The sequence below is a fragment of the Homo sapiens genome, chromosome 4 (genome assembly GCF_000001405.40).
Source record: "Homo sapiens chromosome 4, GRCh38.p14 Primary Assembly".
In the NCBI taxonomy this organism is placed as follows: domain Eukaryota; kingdom Metazoa; phylum Chordata; class Mammalia; order Primates; family Hominidae; genus Homo; species Homo sapiens.
This window is the reverse complement of record NC_000004.12, coordinates 88,514,812-88,530,794: the sequence shown is the minus strand read 5'-3', so window position 1 is coordinate 88,530,794 and position 15,983 is coordinate 88,514,812. Positions and strand designations below refer to the sequence as shown.

Sequence of the window (15,983 nt, the reverse complement as noted above, 5' to 3'; positions counted from 1 at the left end):
AAGCTCAAACCTGGCCATTTTCGTGATCAGTTTTGAAATGTTATACACAGAAGCCATTTAAAATGTATATTAATATGCAGCCCTACAATATTTACTCAAGTCCACATTATTCACTCTTACCTGAGCTGTAGTATAGTATTGATGGCTCATCATACTCATCTCTGCCTAGCAAACTTTTATATTCTACTTGCAAAGTTAAAATTGTTTTTGTGGATTAAAAAATGAGGAAAGGAGATAAAATGGGTGTCCCCTGAGGTCTCAGTAAATAATTTCTTACGGCTATAAGACCTATACTGACACTCCCCTAAGCCCTCCTTAGGCCTTAGGCACAGCCTTCTTTGTGAGCCTCATATACAGTATAAGTTCAACAAATGTTGAATGAATACACGAAAGAATGCATTATATGTAAACCTGAATTTTCTATTTAACTTTATCCTGTGCTGTTTATTCCACTTAAGATTATAAACATCTTGAAAATAGGGATAGCTTTTTTTTTTTTCTTTTGGAGACGGAATCTCACTCTGTCACCTAGGCTGGAGTGCAGTGGCACGATCTTGGCTCACTGCAACCTCCACGTCCCTGGTTCAAGCAATTCTCTTGCCTCAGCCTCCTGAGTAGCTGGGATTATAGGCACTGCCACCACACCAAGGTAATGTTTTGTACTTTTAACAGAGACAGGGTTTCACCATGTTGGCCAGGCCAGGATGGTCTTGAACTCCTCAGGTGATCCGCCTGCCTCAGCCTCCCAAAGTGCTGGATTACAGGCGTGAGCCACCACACTCAGCTGGAATAGCATCTTATATGCCTTTATACCCCTCCTTTCCACCTCCTAATATAATCTGAGAACACAGGAAGTGATCAATATTTACTGAACCGAATCAATAGTTTTGAAATAAAGTATTCTTTTATCAATTATGAACTGGTAATGTTTATATTTTAAAACTACTTTATTAAATAAAAAATTTTAAACAGAGAAACATTTAAAGAACAATTCAGCAATATTTCAACCAGCTAAAGAGAACCAACATTTTTTTTTTTTTTGAGACATAGTCTCTCTCTATTGCCCAGGCTAGAGTGCAGTGGTGTGATCTCAGCTCACTGCAGCCTCTGCCATCTGGTTTCAAGCGATTCTCCTGCCTCAGCCTCCCGAGTAACTGGGATTACTGGCGCCTGCCACCACGCCTGGCTAATTTTTCTATTTTTAGTAGAGACGGGGTTTCACCATCTTGGCCAGGCTGGTCTTGAACTCCTGACCTCGTGATCCACCGGCCTTGGCCTCCCAAAGTGCTGGGATTACGGGTATGAGCCACTGCGCCTGGCCTGTTTTTTTATTTTTTAGAGACAGGGTCTTGCTCTGTCTCCTAGGCTAGAGTGCAGTGGTGCCATCATACCTTACTGTAACCTCGAACTCCTAGGCCCAAGTGATCCTCCTTCCTCAGCCTCCTGAGTAGCTAGTACTTGCAGGCACTGCCATAGCCAACTTTTTTATTTTTTGTAGAAATGGAGTCTTGCTAAGTTGCTCAGTCTGGTCTTGAACTCCTGGCCTCAAGCAATCCTCCTGCCTCGTGCAGGATTACAGGTGTAAGCCACAGCACTCAACCAACATTTTGGTTGTTATTTGTTTTTTGCCCCTATGCCGATGTTCTGGGTTTAAAAATATAATCATTGTGCATACATTTTTGTGTCCTGCTTGTTTTTCACTTATTATAATTTTCTGTGTTGTTATGAGTTTTTATTTTTAAATCTGAATAATGGTGCATGCCTGCCACATAGTGGACATTCAATAAATTAATAAATTAATACTTTATTCATTTATTCATAAACATTAAGAATTACATTTTTAAAATATTTACTATTTTGATAGATGAGAAATGGAAACTTCTTTGATTTTTTAAAAAATTAAGATCACTTTTATTTATCGAAGAGCAAAATAGTAAATTAACAAAACCTTAGCTGATAGAGAAATAACACCGGAAGTCTTGTGCATGTGATTATCAACTAAGTAACTGGTTGAAGTCAGGATATAAATCACTGGATAATTTTTTGTGGAAAGACAGAATAAATTGATGAGGCCCTTAATAAAGAAATGGAAATGAAACCTTGCCCTTTGGAGAAAGAGCACTCTGTAATTCCTATAGCCACCACTCTTCGTCAAAGAGAAACAGGGTTGTGACAATGGTCCCATGAGCCTGGACCTAGGACCCTCTTCAGCTTGTCTCTTGCTTGACTTTGGAGAGCAGACTGGGCATGACACAGAGGCCAGAGACTAATTTGACAATGGGAAGGTTAAAAACTTCATATCCTGGGCCCACTCTTTGATCTTGAGCCATTAGTTCCACAGTTTCTCTTGGCCTTTCATGTCTAAAAAAATGTCCAAGTATTACTGTTACCACCTTGAGAGACGTGGCTGCTGCCATCAGTAGGTGAAAGGTTGTCTTGCTGCCTGAGATGGAAAGTCCCTAGCCAACACCTTATTTTCTGGCTGTATAAGACAGCGACCCAAAAAGCAAAGGGTTGGGAGGAGGACAGGCAGTCCAGCAGGTGACCATTTAGAACTTCGTGCTATAAATGGTTTTGGATTTCCAAAGATGAAACGAGTCTCCCCAGCACAGGGCAGTTGCAGGTCACACCCCCAGGGCCTGACTGGTTTTATCAATCTGGCTGTTTGGGGTCAGTGCAAAGGACATCCTCACCACCTGGATTGCACATATACACAGATGGTGATGATTCTGATATACAGGAAATTGGCGTGAAACTACAGTCTCGCTTTTGCATAGCAACCTTTCACTTTTGGATCTGAGGGGCAAGATGCTTGCTATCCGCTGGACCAATCACTCATGCCATTTACGCCACAGCAGTGCAGAAATGACTGGATGGAGTCCCACATCGCCTTGGTGCTGTTGTCCCAGTGGTAATGGTAGATGCTGTCCGTCAGGCCCTCAGCTACCTATACATTCAGCTTCCGTTCGTAAACAAAGTGCAGGATGGCCAAGATCACCTCAGCAAGGAGGATAACCGGCAGCAGAATGAACAAGGACATAAGCAGGCACCTGTTTTTCTTGACAGAACCTATGCAGCCCAGGAAGGCAACCACCGTGATAATGGAGACCACGATGACAAGCACATTGCCCGGCATGAGGGAGGGGAGCTTATGGAAGAGCACTCCCAAACTGTTGTGGATCAGCGGGTACATCCCCATAACTGCAGCAGCCACAGAACCAAAAGAGCAAGTTGGGCTGTGCGTGGTAGCTCACGCCTGTAATCCCAGGACTTTGGGAGGCTGAGGCGGGAGGATCACTTGAGCCCAGGAGTTCAAGACCAGCCTGGGCAACATAGTGAGACCCTGACTTTACAAAAAAAATTTTAGAAATTAGCCAGGTGTGGTGGTGCATGTGTGTGCCTATGGTCCCAGCTACTCAGGAAGCTGAGGTGGGAGGATTGTTTGAGCTCAGAAGGTGAAGGCTGCAGTCAGCTATGATGGAGCCACTGCACTCCAGCCTGGGAGATAGAGCAAGATCCTGTCTCAAAAAAAAAAAAAAGAAAGAAAGAGAGAAAGTGAGAGAGAGTAAGAAAGAAAGAAAGAAAAGAAAGAAAGACAGGACATACTTCCATAATTTCAAGCTACTTGTGCCCATGCTGGGATATTCTGGTCCTTTTGCAGGCACTAGTCCTCAGCCCTTCAGACAGAATTTGTGATTATCCTTCAGATGGCCAAAACAAGGCTGGTAACATTCATGTCTAGAGTTATTTCAAAACTCCTTTGATGTTTGAAACTAGCATTACTACTTTACTATTGAGGATAATTTTTTAATATGTTTATTGACCAACTGTATTTTCTTTTTTGCGAATTTTTCTTTTCAAATATTTTGTCCATTTATCTATTGGAAACTTGATTTTAATAAACTCATCATTAAAATTTATTAATAGGACTTTTATGATTTTTGTTTTTAAAATAAATGTTGGGCTGGGCACAGTGGCTTATGCCTGTAATCCTAGCACTTTGGGAGGCCAAGGTGGGTGGACTGCTTGAGCTCAGGAGTTCCAGACCAGCCTGGGCAACATGAAACACCATCTCTACAAAAAATACAAAAATTAGCTGGGTGTGGTGGCATGCACCTGTATTCCCAGCTACCTGGAGGCTGACATGCCAGGATTGCTTGAGTCTGGGAGGTCAAGGCTGCAGTGAGTCACGACTGCACCACTGTACTCCAGCCTGGATGACACAGAGAGAATCTGTCTCAAGAAAATAAAATAAAAATAAAAAATAAGTGTTGTCAAACTAAGAAACAATTGGCAAAATGAAAGTAAGTCTTTGTAATCACAGAAAGAAAAGATCAAGCAGAGATAAATGTTAGTTCAAATACTAAATGATGCCATCTAGTGGAAAATTTATTTTGACTCATTTCTTTGGATTGCAGGTTCACAAATTTCAATGCCCCCAAATTTGGAATTGACAGGCTCTGTTAAAATACATAGTCCAGCCCCTCTTCTGCCTAGAGATTTCTAACTTCATGTGTGTGATAATCCAAGAATTGTGTTTCAATAGTATCCATATTGGAAATTAGAAAAATTCCATTTCAGTTAAAAAGAGTGTCCCAGAAGTACCTTGTGCTTTCCCTTTCCATCAGAATGTTTACTAGTTTCACCATAATAAATAATTTTATTGCTAAACATTCTTTAAATGTGTTAGCCCCTGTGCTGTTTTACTTGAATTGTTTTATTTAGTCTGTTCAAACACTGTAAGTTACATACTATTATTATTGTATTTCACAAGTGAGAAGGTTGAGGGTGAGAACTTAAGTAGCTTCTCCAAGATCACACAGCTATATTGTATCTGAGCCCAGAAACCATCAGGTTATTGTGCACAGGCCTATGTGACACGAAAGGTCAGTCATGTGAATAGTGAAAAGGGACTAACTTTTAAAAGACCAGTTCCAGTCCCATGATCCTATCCTATCATCTACATTTAGCTTAGTATACTACAGGCAGAAATGAATTGTATTTCTTCATTACTAAGGGCTATTTAGGGACATATTGCTTTGATATGTTGCAACTTAATACACACATGGTGATAGTCATACATTCATATGTTCCTTAAATATTGGTTGTTGATTTCTGGTGTTATAAATTTGAGGATGTTTTCAATACTTTGCTGTTACTCTCTATTCTTCCCCTAAATAAAGTAAACTGAACTGCCTCAAACCCTCTATGTGGAGGCAAACTGAAACTAATTTATTTATAACTGGTTAGAAAACCCAGTTGATAGAGATCTGTCAGCCAAGCTAGCTGAGGCTTAAGCATGGGTGCCTTCCCCTACCCAACAAGCGCCAAGGGTTGGGCCCACTCAGCGCTTGCAGAAGTCAAGCGCTGTTTCTCCTTAAGCAGAAACTTATCTTTCCTACAGCTCACCCCTTCCCTTGAGCCCAAAGTATCAACTGACTTCAACTGAAAAATTAATTCCTGCTACTGCCCTAGTCGGAAATAGTGTGAAGGTGACATAGGAACTTTACAGTAGTTTCCCTTGAGGGTATGTCCCGATAACTGCCCTATTCTCTAGTCCGTTAGTAACTCTAATAACGGAAAGTTATGACTGTGAAAGATTGCTTTGTGAGGGAAGGAAGGTGAGGCAACCAGAGACTTTCATTATCTCTTAAATATCTATCCAGTAGAAGTGTTTCCTTTTTGGTATCCTATAAACTACATTAACCTTAGAAAATCTTCTGAGCATTAGTGAACAAAGAACATCAAAAAATAAACTGTTTTTTTTAAAAAAAACAGGATGGCCCAAAAAACAAACAAAAAATTAGGATGAACATATAAACATTTGTCAGTTTATTTTTACATTGGAGTGGAAGAGAAATTTGAAAATATAAACATATTTTTGGATTCTGTACTTCCAGCTCCAGGAACTCAAAGTGTGAAATGATAATGCCCAGTGATGCAAAAAAAAAGTTCAGGTTGATATTCAGCAGAACGGAGGGAAAAAATGGATGACTAATGAGAATCTTTGAGTCTTCGGACATGGAAAAACTAGATGAACTAAAAATAAAAATAGACAACATTAATGGAGCATTAATTTGTGCCAGGCACTTTTCTAAATGTTCTTCGAATGCACAATCACATTTATGCCCTACCTACAAGGTAGGTACAATTATTAGTCTTATACAGATAAGGAAAATGAGCAGTTAAGTCATTTGCCAAAGTCATCCAGCTACTAATTGTGGACAGGGAACCAAGCTGTCAGGCCCCAGAGCCCAAGTTCCCATCTACTACACTGTAAGAAAGAGATCTAACATGGTCACTTTCTTGGAGAGTGGGAAGCAAACCTGGGATACAAATTCACTGAATGGATCACCCACTCATTGAATGGATCTTTAACAGGCAGATCACATCTGCCTGTTACACAGCTATTTAGGCCCCTTGCGGCCTCCAAGCTCATTTATAGAAGTAAATTAGCTGTGCTTTATTACGCAAATACTTCACAATGACTGGGTCTCAGGCAGGAAGAATTTATATATTTTGGAGGGTCAGAGGCCTAGGCCCTTCCTTCCAGGTTCTCACTTTTTTTAATGAGAGAGAAAAAAGCCAAACAAGGTTACAGAAACTAATGGTATAGTAAAGATGTACATGAAACAAATGAGCGCTTTCAATACATCCATGACAATACATTCGGTACAATACATAACAGTGTGTTTGAAACTTCACTTGGAGGTAACCACGTAGGTCCAAGCCTAACTCCCTACAACTCTGAGGCCTGGCCACTGGCTTCCTAGCATCCTTGGACAGGCCCCGGTGAAAACCCAGACACCTTGACTTAAACACTGGTTTAGTTTGTAGTCTGGTAAGGCGGCGGGGCACTCACCAGAGGCCTCTGCCCTGGGGCTGTCCTCCGGACTATAGATGACGCCCGTGGGAAAAGCAGTCGGAGCAGAAGCACCCTCGGAACCAAAGCGCCCGCCCCGCCTACTCCTCGGCAGCGTTTCCTGGAGGACCAGGGGGCGGGGCCTGCCCGGCTGGCCTGGACGAACGGGAAGCCGGGAGCTCGGCCACGGGTGGCGAGGCTGCGGTGAGGCCTGGTCTCCGGCTGCCAGACCATGCTGAGTGGAGCACGCTGCAGGCTCGCCTCAGCGCTGCGGGGAACGCGCGCGCCGCCGTCCGCGGTCGCCCGTAGGTGCCTGCACGCGTCGGGGTCGCGGCCTTTGGCCGACCGGGGCAAGAAGACTGAGGAGCCGCCCCGCGACTTCGATCCGGCGCTGCTGGAGTTCCTGGTGTGCCCGCTCTCCAAGAAGCCGCTCAGGTAACTCGCTGGCCTTGGCCCTTCCTTTGCAGCCTCCCGGTGGGCGGAAAGGGAGCGGTGGACCGCGGCCTCTTGCAGCCACTGGGGCCTTGTAGGTCGGTCAGGTACTCTCCGCTGCCACATTCTGGACTCTGTCCTCGCCGGGCGCACAGCGGGCAGGACGGGGGAGACCGGAGGCCAGGGGAGCTGCGTCCCACATCTCCCAGAACGCAACGCCAGCCTGCGGGAATGGCTCGAAGCGTTTTAGGGTTCGCGACCGGCTGCGCATTGCAATCACCCGGGGACCGTTTTAAAAATGCCGATTCCCCGACAGCCCCCAAGACGGGCAGACTTGGAATGCTCGCGGGATGGGACCTGAACATTTGTATTTTCTTTTCCTTTTTTTTTTTCCTTTTAAGAGACAGGGTGCCCCCTACGTTGCCCAGACTGGCCTAGAACTCCCGCCTCAGCCTCCTCAGGAGTCGAGAGACAGGCGCCGCCCCCACGCCCAGCTTATCTGTGTTCTTAAACGGTCCCTAAATGATTTCTAATGTACCACCAGGTTTATGAACCACTGCGATTCAGGACAAGTCCGAAGCCTTCCGGTTTTTAAGCCAAGATAATGAAAAGTATTGTTGTACCCTCCAGATTCTTGTGAAAGTGTCTTGTACAACTGGTGCCTGACAATCTTAAGCAATTCAGCTGTGTTTGCTGCCCAGTGGCTCTTAGTTGTGGCCTAGCAGGTTTCGTAGAAGCCTCTTTAACTAGTTTTTGGGAAGACAGCTCTACAGTTTCCAAGCTACCAAAATTGAATATTGACAACACTAACGCTAGTATTACAAATCGCATAAACACCAAAATGTTATCAGTGGTTATCTTTGAATGGTAGATTGCTAGCAATTTTTCGTATTTCTTTTTCCCGTAATAAACATATTATTCAATTTTCTCGAACCTTGAAATTATCATTTGATTTACGTTTATAACTAGCTCACTGCAGACTTAGTGCTTTCGAAAGTTTCTTCATTTCTGCCCTCTCACCTTTTCCAGTGATTTCCTTCTAATGGATTAGTTAAGTTTCTCTACTTAGCATTTATTCTAAAATGAAGAAGTTGATTTTTCTCTAGTGTTTATTCCAGTAGTAAATTAACAGGGATGGTTTGGGGGTTGACCAAAGTAATGAAGGAATATTTGGATAAGAGAGGGGGATCTTTTCTGACTAGTATGAAAAAAAATTAAGGAATAACTTGTGAATAAGGTGAAAAAGAGAATATGAGAGAAACTACTAAAATGGGAATAATTATAGATTGTAAGAGAATTTTTCTAAGATAAAAGGTTGAATTGGCTATTGTTGCTTTTAGAATTAAAGAAGACTATTCTGGGATTAACTCCGTACCAAAAATTGGATAAATGGTGGTATTTGTTGAAAATCAGGCTCTTCAAGCATTTTATTTTCCCACAACTCATTTTGTTCTTTTTTTTTCCACCTCAGATATGAAGCATCAACAAACGAATTGATTAATGAAGAGTTGGGAATAGCTTATCCAATCATTGATGGGATCCCTAATATGATACCACAGGCAGCTAGGATGACACGTCAAAGTAAGAAGCAAGAAGAAGTGGAGCAGCGCTAGTTCATAATTTAAAAAAATTAAAAAAACGCAACAGCCAACTTTTCTTAATACCATATACCTTTTAAAACACAGTGGCAGGTAATAAGTGGAAGAGAAGAATGTTTCTGTCTCTTCCTACGTTGACTGTTCTTATTCCACTGGTTTCTTTAGCAGGACTGTTCTACTCAGCCTCTGTGGAAGAAAACTTCCCACAGGGCTGCACTAGCACAGCCAGCCTTTGCTTTTACAGCCTGCTCTTGCCTATTACCATACCAGTGTATGTATTCTTCCACCTTTGGACTTGGATGGGTATTAAACTCTTCAGGCATAATTGATGCAACTAGAGTCAATATGCTGTATATATTAATGATAGCTCTTGGGCATCGATCTCTGAAAGCTCAAATGGATGGAATTTAGTTTGCGGGAAAGAGGCTTTGCTTTGCGCATATCAGGCTTAGGACTGTGGGAGGCTTAAGTTGCAGATGCTTCTTTTATTGTACTCTTGTTCTGCCCTTGTTTTTTGAAGGCTCTGACTTATAACTGCTGTATCAGAAGAAACATTTTGACAGTGTCTTGGTTGGAGATGAACATCCCTAATTGACATGTGATGACTATTTCTTATTCCATTCATCTAAGAGTCATTGAAATTTTGTTTTGCTTGTTTGTTTAGCTTCAAGGTCTTTGGTAAAGTCACATGTTAAGGATGACTGAAATAATTCCAAAGGAGTGATGTTGGAATAGTCCCTCTAAGGGAGAGAAATGCATTTGAACGAATGTGATATAAAACCACATAATCAAATAGAAACTTCATGTACTTACAAAAACTGAGTTTGTAAAATTACCTTCATTTCTTTGACATTAAATGCTTATATTAGCAATAAACATGTTGACACTTTCCTATAAAAAATAAACCAGTTTGCAGTAGTCGTTTGTTTGTTTGGTCACAGAAGTGTTAATGATACTAAGGGAAGTTGTAAAACTGCACTAAATGTAGTTGTGTTTAGAGAGGTACTTAATACCCAAAACAGAATCATTTCCTGGGAAAGTGAGGGGTGGGAAGACTTGCAAGTAGTGGATTGTACCCTGTTGAGCTTAGAGCCATATTTGAGCCACATTTCAGTTTATTTTCCCAGGATGCCGAATAACACCACTAAGGGCATGAGCATTGACACGTTAATGGCCCCTGATTTTCTAGAACTTTCAACAAGACTAATCAAGCATAGTACAATACTTCTGAAATATAGTGTGTTTCAGTAGTTAACCCAAAGAAACCTAAGAACTGAATACAAACTTTATTTTTATTGGAATCTTATGTTAACAGAAACCTTAAACAGTGATTCTTCTGCATCAAAAAATTAAAACATGTTAGATGTGTTTTCTTTTGAATTCAAGGTATACTGTAGTACAAACAACATGTTAAAATTACCCTATGGCAACATACAGATAACCTGAAAGACTACAGGTTCCCAGGTATTTCCTGAAGAGTTGTTCTTTTCAATTAACCCTAAATCTCACACTTAACCAAGTCAGGGAAAAGGAAACAATTCTGAAAAACAAGTACATACTATATCTCAAGAAGTCAATTTCAATTTCAGCATTTGGAAGTTGAGTGTTTTACTATTTCAGGAAACACTGACAAGAATGCCCTGGGGGGGTTTAGTATTTAACACCATCCCCTCACTAATAGAATTTATTTAGCAATCAGTTGTTACAGTATAAACATATACCAGGTACAATTATAAACACAGTGCTGTGTCTTCAATCGTATAACCCTAAAGAGTAGGTAATATTGGCACCATTTTACAGATAAGGAAACAAGCACAGAGAGATTAAGTGACTTACCCAAGGTAACATAGCTAATAATTGGATGGAAATGTAAACCATCTAGCCATCTGGCTTCAGTCTTAACTACCAAGCCATGTGCCACTTTATTTTGGGCTATTTGGTCCTTTCTATTTACAAGAAAAACAGAGAAATCAAAATGCTTAGTTTCTAATTCTTATTCAAGATTGGACTAGGTGACCACCCAATCCCCTCCTTTTTTTTTTTTTGAGACAGGGTCTTACTCTGTTGCCCAGGCTGGAGTGCAGTGGCATGGTACGATCATGGCTCACGGCAGCCTCCACCTCCTGAGTTCAAGTGATTCTCCCACCTCAGCCTCCCAAGTAGCTGGGACTACAGTCATGTGCCACCATGCCTGGCTAATTTTTTTTTTGTATTTTTTTGTAGAGATGGGGTTTCACCATGTTGTCCAGGCTGGTCTCAACTCCTGGGCTCAAGCGATCCACCCGCCTCGGCCTCCCAAAGTGCTGGGATTACAGGAGTGAGCCACCGCACCCAGCCAGTACCCTTCTTATTGCTTAAGGCACCGTATGCTTTATTCTAGCACTTAACCTTGTGCTGCAATTGTCTGGTTTTTGTCTCCTGTCTATACAGTAAATGCTGAACATTTTAAATCTAATGTTTAGCACAGAGCAGGCACTAAGTGCCTCCTGAGTGAACACATGGCTCTGAGAAGCCTTATAACTTCAGCCAGTTACTTAGCATTCTGGGCCTCATTTTTAGGGCTAAAAAGTCCTTACCCTTGTTTCATAAAATGGTGAGGATGAAATAAAATTTTACCTGCGAGGGTACTTTGTAAAGAACTAAGTGATACTTCTAGAGACCACGTGAGGAACTTTGTGGACCCATTCACCAGGGAAACAAGCCTAACTAGTGAAAATTATAAACAAAACAACCATTTAAATGGTCTGGAAATTGTCCTAAAGGCATACAGCTCATTAAATGAAGAAACATTCAAGGAAACCTACTGAAACTTAATAAGAACAGCAAGTTTTTGTCATCTGACCCACCAACCACTTGTTTTCTGCTCCCTCTGTTTGGCGATGGCCACTCCAGGAGAGTGTAATCAAGAACACGGGGCTCGCTCTTCCCCCAGCTCCTAGTTGAGGGTTATGGTACCTCCTCGGAGGCATAGGCCATCAGCATAGTAAAGGTAATTATGTAATTATAAAAGACAGTATAAATGCGTGTTTTGTCATTCTTATTTATAGGGCAATTATATAAAAAAACCATGTTTATGCAAGATGCATTGTATTTGGGAGCCTGTAACATATATAACATATTTAGCATTAACATCACAAAGGAAATGGAGGTAAGCAAAGCTGTATTTGCAGTATGAAAATGATACCAGATAGTAACTTGAATTCATAAAAATACATGAAGAGAACCATAAGAGATAAATAATGTAATGAATGCTATAAATATATACTTGCTGTCCTTTTCTCAGTTTAAGATACATCAGATTATATAAAATAATTATAACTAAGTATTGAGTTTGTAACATACAGATGTGATTACATAACAATAGCACAGCAAGAGGAAAAAAGGAATTGAGCACTTGATATGTGGCTAGATAAAAGTAATGCTTCTATATCTTATCGACACTTTTTTGTTGTTGCTGTTGTTTGAGACAGAGTCTCACTCTCACCCAGGCTGGAGTGCAGTGGCACGATCTCTGCTCGCTGCAACCTCCGCCTCCTGGGTTCAAGTGATTCTCCTGTCTCAGCCTCCCCAGTAGCTGGGATTACAGGGGTGCACCACCATGCCTGGCTAATTTTTGTGTTTTTAGTAGAGACGAGGTTTCACCATGTTGGCCAGGCTGGTCCTGAACTCCTGATCTCAAGTGATCCACCCTCCTCTGCCTCCCAAAGTGCTAGAATTACAGGAGTGAGCCACCATGCCCAGCCTCTTATTGACACTTTTATGAACAGATCAGCAGTTTTAAAAGACCTCTTAAGCCTTCATACACTGCTGGTGAGAATATAAAATGTTGCAGCTTCTTTGGAAAACAGCAAGACCACAAAAGGTCAAATGTAGAGTTGCCACATGACGCAGCAATTTTACTCCCAGGTATATACTCAAGAGAAGTGAGAACTTAAGTATTCACGACAGCTTGTATGCAAATGTTCATAGCAGCATCATTTAGGATAGCCAAAAAGTAGAAACAACCCAAACGTCCATAAACTGATGAATAGATAGATAAAATGTGATATGAATATAATGAAATAATATTTGGCAATATAAAGTGATAAAGTACTGATATATGCTAGACTATGGATGAACCTTGCAAACATCATGCTAAGTCATAGAAGCCAGTTACGAAAGGTCACATAGTCTAATTTCATTTATTTGAAATGTCCATAATAGTCAATCTCTACAGACAGACAGTAGATTAGTAGCTGCATAGAGCTGGAGAAGAAGGGGGAGATTGTGCAGTTTTGGCTAAAGGGTACAAGGTTTCTCTTTGGGGTGATAAAAATGTTCTAAAATGGACTATGGTGGCAATTTGGGAGGCCAAGCTGGGAGGATCACTTGAGCCCGGGAGTTCGAGACCAGCCTGGGCAACATAGGGAGACCCTGTCTCTACAAAAAACTAAAAATCTAAAAAAAAAAAAAATTAGCTGGGCATGGTGGTATGTGCCTGTGGTCCCAGCTACTCAGGAGGCTGAGGTGGGAGAATCCAGCCCAGGAGGTCAAGGATGTGGTGAGCCATGATCATGCCACTGCACTCCAGCCTGGGCAACCGAGCAAGACCCTGTCTCAAAAAAAAAAACAAGAAAAACCCCAAACAGAAAAATTGACTATGGTGATGCTTGCACAATTCTGTGAAGATACTAAAAACCATTGAGTTGTACACTATATATGGCTGAGTTACATGCTATGTGAATTATATCTCAATAAAGTTGTTAGAGGAAAATTAAAAAAGCAGTATCTCAGTGTCCAGCCTAAGGCTCAGTGGTTCCAGGTCACTTGCTGGAGGTCAGATGCTGGTTAGAGGCATGGCCAAAAGTGAATGCAGGTCTTACGCCTTCTAAATTTTGTCCACCCATTGTGCTACTTCTAGTGACCCTATGAAATATGACACCCTGTATTGGGAATTCAACAGGTTTCTAGTGTTCCTTCCCAAGCTTCTCACTAGCAAATCATCCTGGCTTCATATCTGTTCACAGGGACACAAGCTGCCCATTACGTACCTCATGCTGCACGCCATGGCTTTGACCCCAACACTTCCATTTGTTACACTGTAAACCCACCATGAGGAACACTGCCTTATTCCTACATTAATGAAACTCTTCCCCACTCCTCCTCCTTCTCAATAATCCGCTGACTTCACAATGCCAGGGGACCTACTGCTTCCTTAGAGACTCTTAACAAGATTCTCTTTTTAAGTGTCCTCAGCTGCATCACTGACAAATCATCTTTAACCACGTTAATGAGATCCTTCCCACCAGCTCTAAATGAGAAATTCCCATCCTGAGGGAGCAAAACCTGGCCTATTGTGACCTACTGTCCTTCTTTATTTGCAGCCAATCCTGCAAAGAAGGGGATTTTTTTTTTTTTTTTTTTTTTTTTTTTTTTTTTTGAGACGTAGTCTCGCTCTGTCGCCCAGGCTGGAGTTCAGCGGCGCAATCTCGGCTCACTGCAAGCTCTGCCTCCTGGGTTCACGCCATTCTCCTTCCTCAGCCTCCTGAGTAGCTGGGACTACAGGCGCCCGCCACCACGCCCGGCCAATTTTTTGTATTTTTTAGTAAAGATGGAGTTTCACCGTGTTAGGCAGGATGGTCTCAATCTCCTGACCTTGTGATCCGCCCGCCTTGGCCTCGCAAAGTGCTGGGATTACAGGCGTGTATTTTTAGTAGAGACGGGGTTTCACCGTGTTAGCCAGGATGGTCTAGATCTCCTGACCTCGTGATCCGCCCGCCTCGGCCTCCCAAAGTGCTGGGATTACAGGCGTGAGCCACCGTGCCCGGCCCAAAGAAGGGGATTTTAAGGAGGCCCCTCTGAACTTGAGACTGCATCTGTAAGATGAAAATTATGATACCTACTTCCAGACCAAGGGAGAGTTTTAAATTAGGTAGAAAATGTAAAACTATCTAGAAGAGCCAAGAGCCACGGTAGATTCTCCCTACTGTGTGTAGTGGTGGAGAAAGCCTGTCCACTATTCCAAGTTTTGTCCCTCTTAGTGAAATGCTCCATTTGGAAGCGAGTGTTGTCTTCCGCATTTGCCACTAGATGGCACTTTTGGTTAACTCATGGGACCACTGGCAATTGATCCCTCAGAAGGAAGCAGAAAGACAAGTGCACTGCTGAAATGCAGAGCTAGGTAGCATCCAGCAGAATGCCATGACAGCCGACGTGAATCCTGAAAAATGAATAGGAATAACCAAGACAGAGGAGGAGGCAGAATTGAAGCGAGGAGGTGAGGAACAGGGAGAGATAGTGGTGCAATGGGAAGAGGGTTCCAGGCAAAAGAAAAAGCATGTGTGAAAACACAGAATAAGAGACTGGGCCCATTCAAGAAACTGAAATAGAATCATGGGCTGCTTAATGATGTTTCCAGTAACAACAGACCACATATACAACGGTAGTCCCATAAGATTATATTAGGAGCTAAAAATTCCTGTTGCCTAGTAGCGTCATAGCTGTCATAATGTTGTAAAGGAATTGCTTTATTTTTAAAATAAATTTAGTGTAGCCTAAGAGTACAGTGTTTATAAAGTCTACAGTGGTGTAATGTCCTAAGCCTTCACATTCATTCACCACTTACTCACTGACTTAGAGCCACTTCCAGTCCTGCAAACTCCATTCATGGTAAGTACCATTTTTTATCTTTTATATCATATTTTTACTGTACCTTTTCTATTTTTAGATATACAAATATTGACCATTGTGTTACAATTGCCTACAGTGTTCAGAACAGTACACATGCTGTACAGGTTTGTAGCATTGTGCAAACATCACAGAGTGTACTTACAAACACAGCGCGTAAGTATACTCTGTGATGTTTGCACAATAAGAAAATCGCCCAAACAGTGGGAGATGAGGCTGGAACTGTACACAGGGCACATCAAGAGGGATTCGGGAGCTGTAATAATAGTCAGTGTCAGTGAAATCGGAATTTATTACCTGACTTTTAAATTGTTTGGATTTGTGCAGCTGATAAACACTATGGCTCTTTTTCCCATAAAAAAGGAAAAAGAAAAAAAAGCACGTGCAGCATTCCAGAGGGTTTGTATGTTACAGATCCCTGCTGT

At 41.9% G+C, this 15,983-nt stretch overlaps 3 protein-coding genes, 1 long non-coding RNA gene and 1 pseudogene across 6 annotated transcripts in view, besides 1 other annotated feature; 2 read left to right on the top strand and 3 right to left on the bottom strand.

Moving 5' to 3' along the window:
* HERC3 (HECT and RLD domain containing E3 ubiquitin protein ligase 3) overlaps nucleotides 1-6,952 on the bottom strand; it is a 184,697-nt gene extending 177,745 nt beyond the window's left edge. For both annotated transcript variants that reach the window (NM_001375483.1, NM_001375482.1), the window contains exon 1: nucleotides 6,863-6,952. The gene's annotated coding sequence lies outside the window, so the exon portion shown is untranslated. The remainder of the gene's footprint in view (nucleotides 1-6,862) is intronic.
* LOC100129137 (CD53 molecule pseudogene) lies at nucleotides 2,628-3,233 on the bottom strand (annotated as a pseudogene).
* On the bottom strand, nucleotides 5,804-6,985 carry PIGY-DT (PIGY divergent transcript). Of its 2 annotated transcripts, none has more exons than NR_134662.1 (2): nucleotides 6,863-6,985; nucleotides 5,804-6,039 (listed from the first exon to the last, which is right to left on the bottom strand). It is a non-coding gene; the product is annotated as a PIGY divergent transcript (long non-coding RNA). The 2 variants fall into 2 exon arrangements; NR_134663.1 differs by having other exon boundaries at nucleotides 5,804-6,030.
* PYURF (PIGY upstream open reading frame) lies at nucleotides 7,019-9,797 on the top strand. The gene is made up of 2 exons (NM_032906.5): nucleotides 7,019-7,297; nucleotides 8,766-9,797. The coding sequence occupies exons 1-2, from the start codon at nucleotides 7,095-7,097 to the stop codon at nucleotides 8,905-8,907; spliced, it is 345 nt and encodes a 114-aa protein (NP_116295.1). The 5' UTR covers nucleotides 7,019-7,094; the 3' UTR covers nucleotides 8,908-9,797.
* PIGY (phosphatidylinositol glycan anchor biosynthesis class Y) lies at nucleotides 7,019-9,797 on the top strand. Its single transcript, NM_001042616.3, has 2 exons — nucleotides 7,019-7,297; nucleotides 8,766-9,797. Exon 2 carries the CDS (start codon nucleotides 9,006-9,008, stop codon nucleotides 9,219-9,221), a length of 216 nt encoding a protein of 71 aa, NP_001036081.1. The 5' UTR covers nucleotides 7,019-7,297; nucleotides 8,766-9,005; the 3' UTR covers nucleotides 9,222-9,797.
* Nucleotides 7,662-7,721: an enhancer, noted in NCBI's record as "active region_21716". NCBI's record gives its function as "activates an Ori minimal core promoter by ATAC-STARR-seq in GM12878 lymphoblastoid cells {active_cell/tissue: GM12878}" and the evidence as "EXISTENCE:reporter gene assay evidence [ECO:0000049][PMID:35858748]".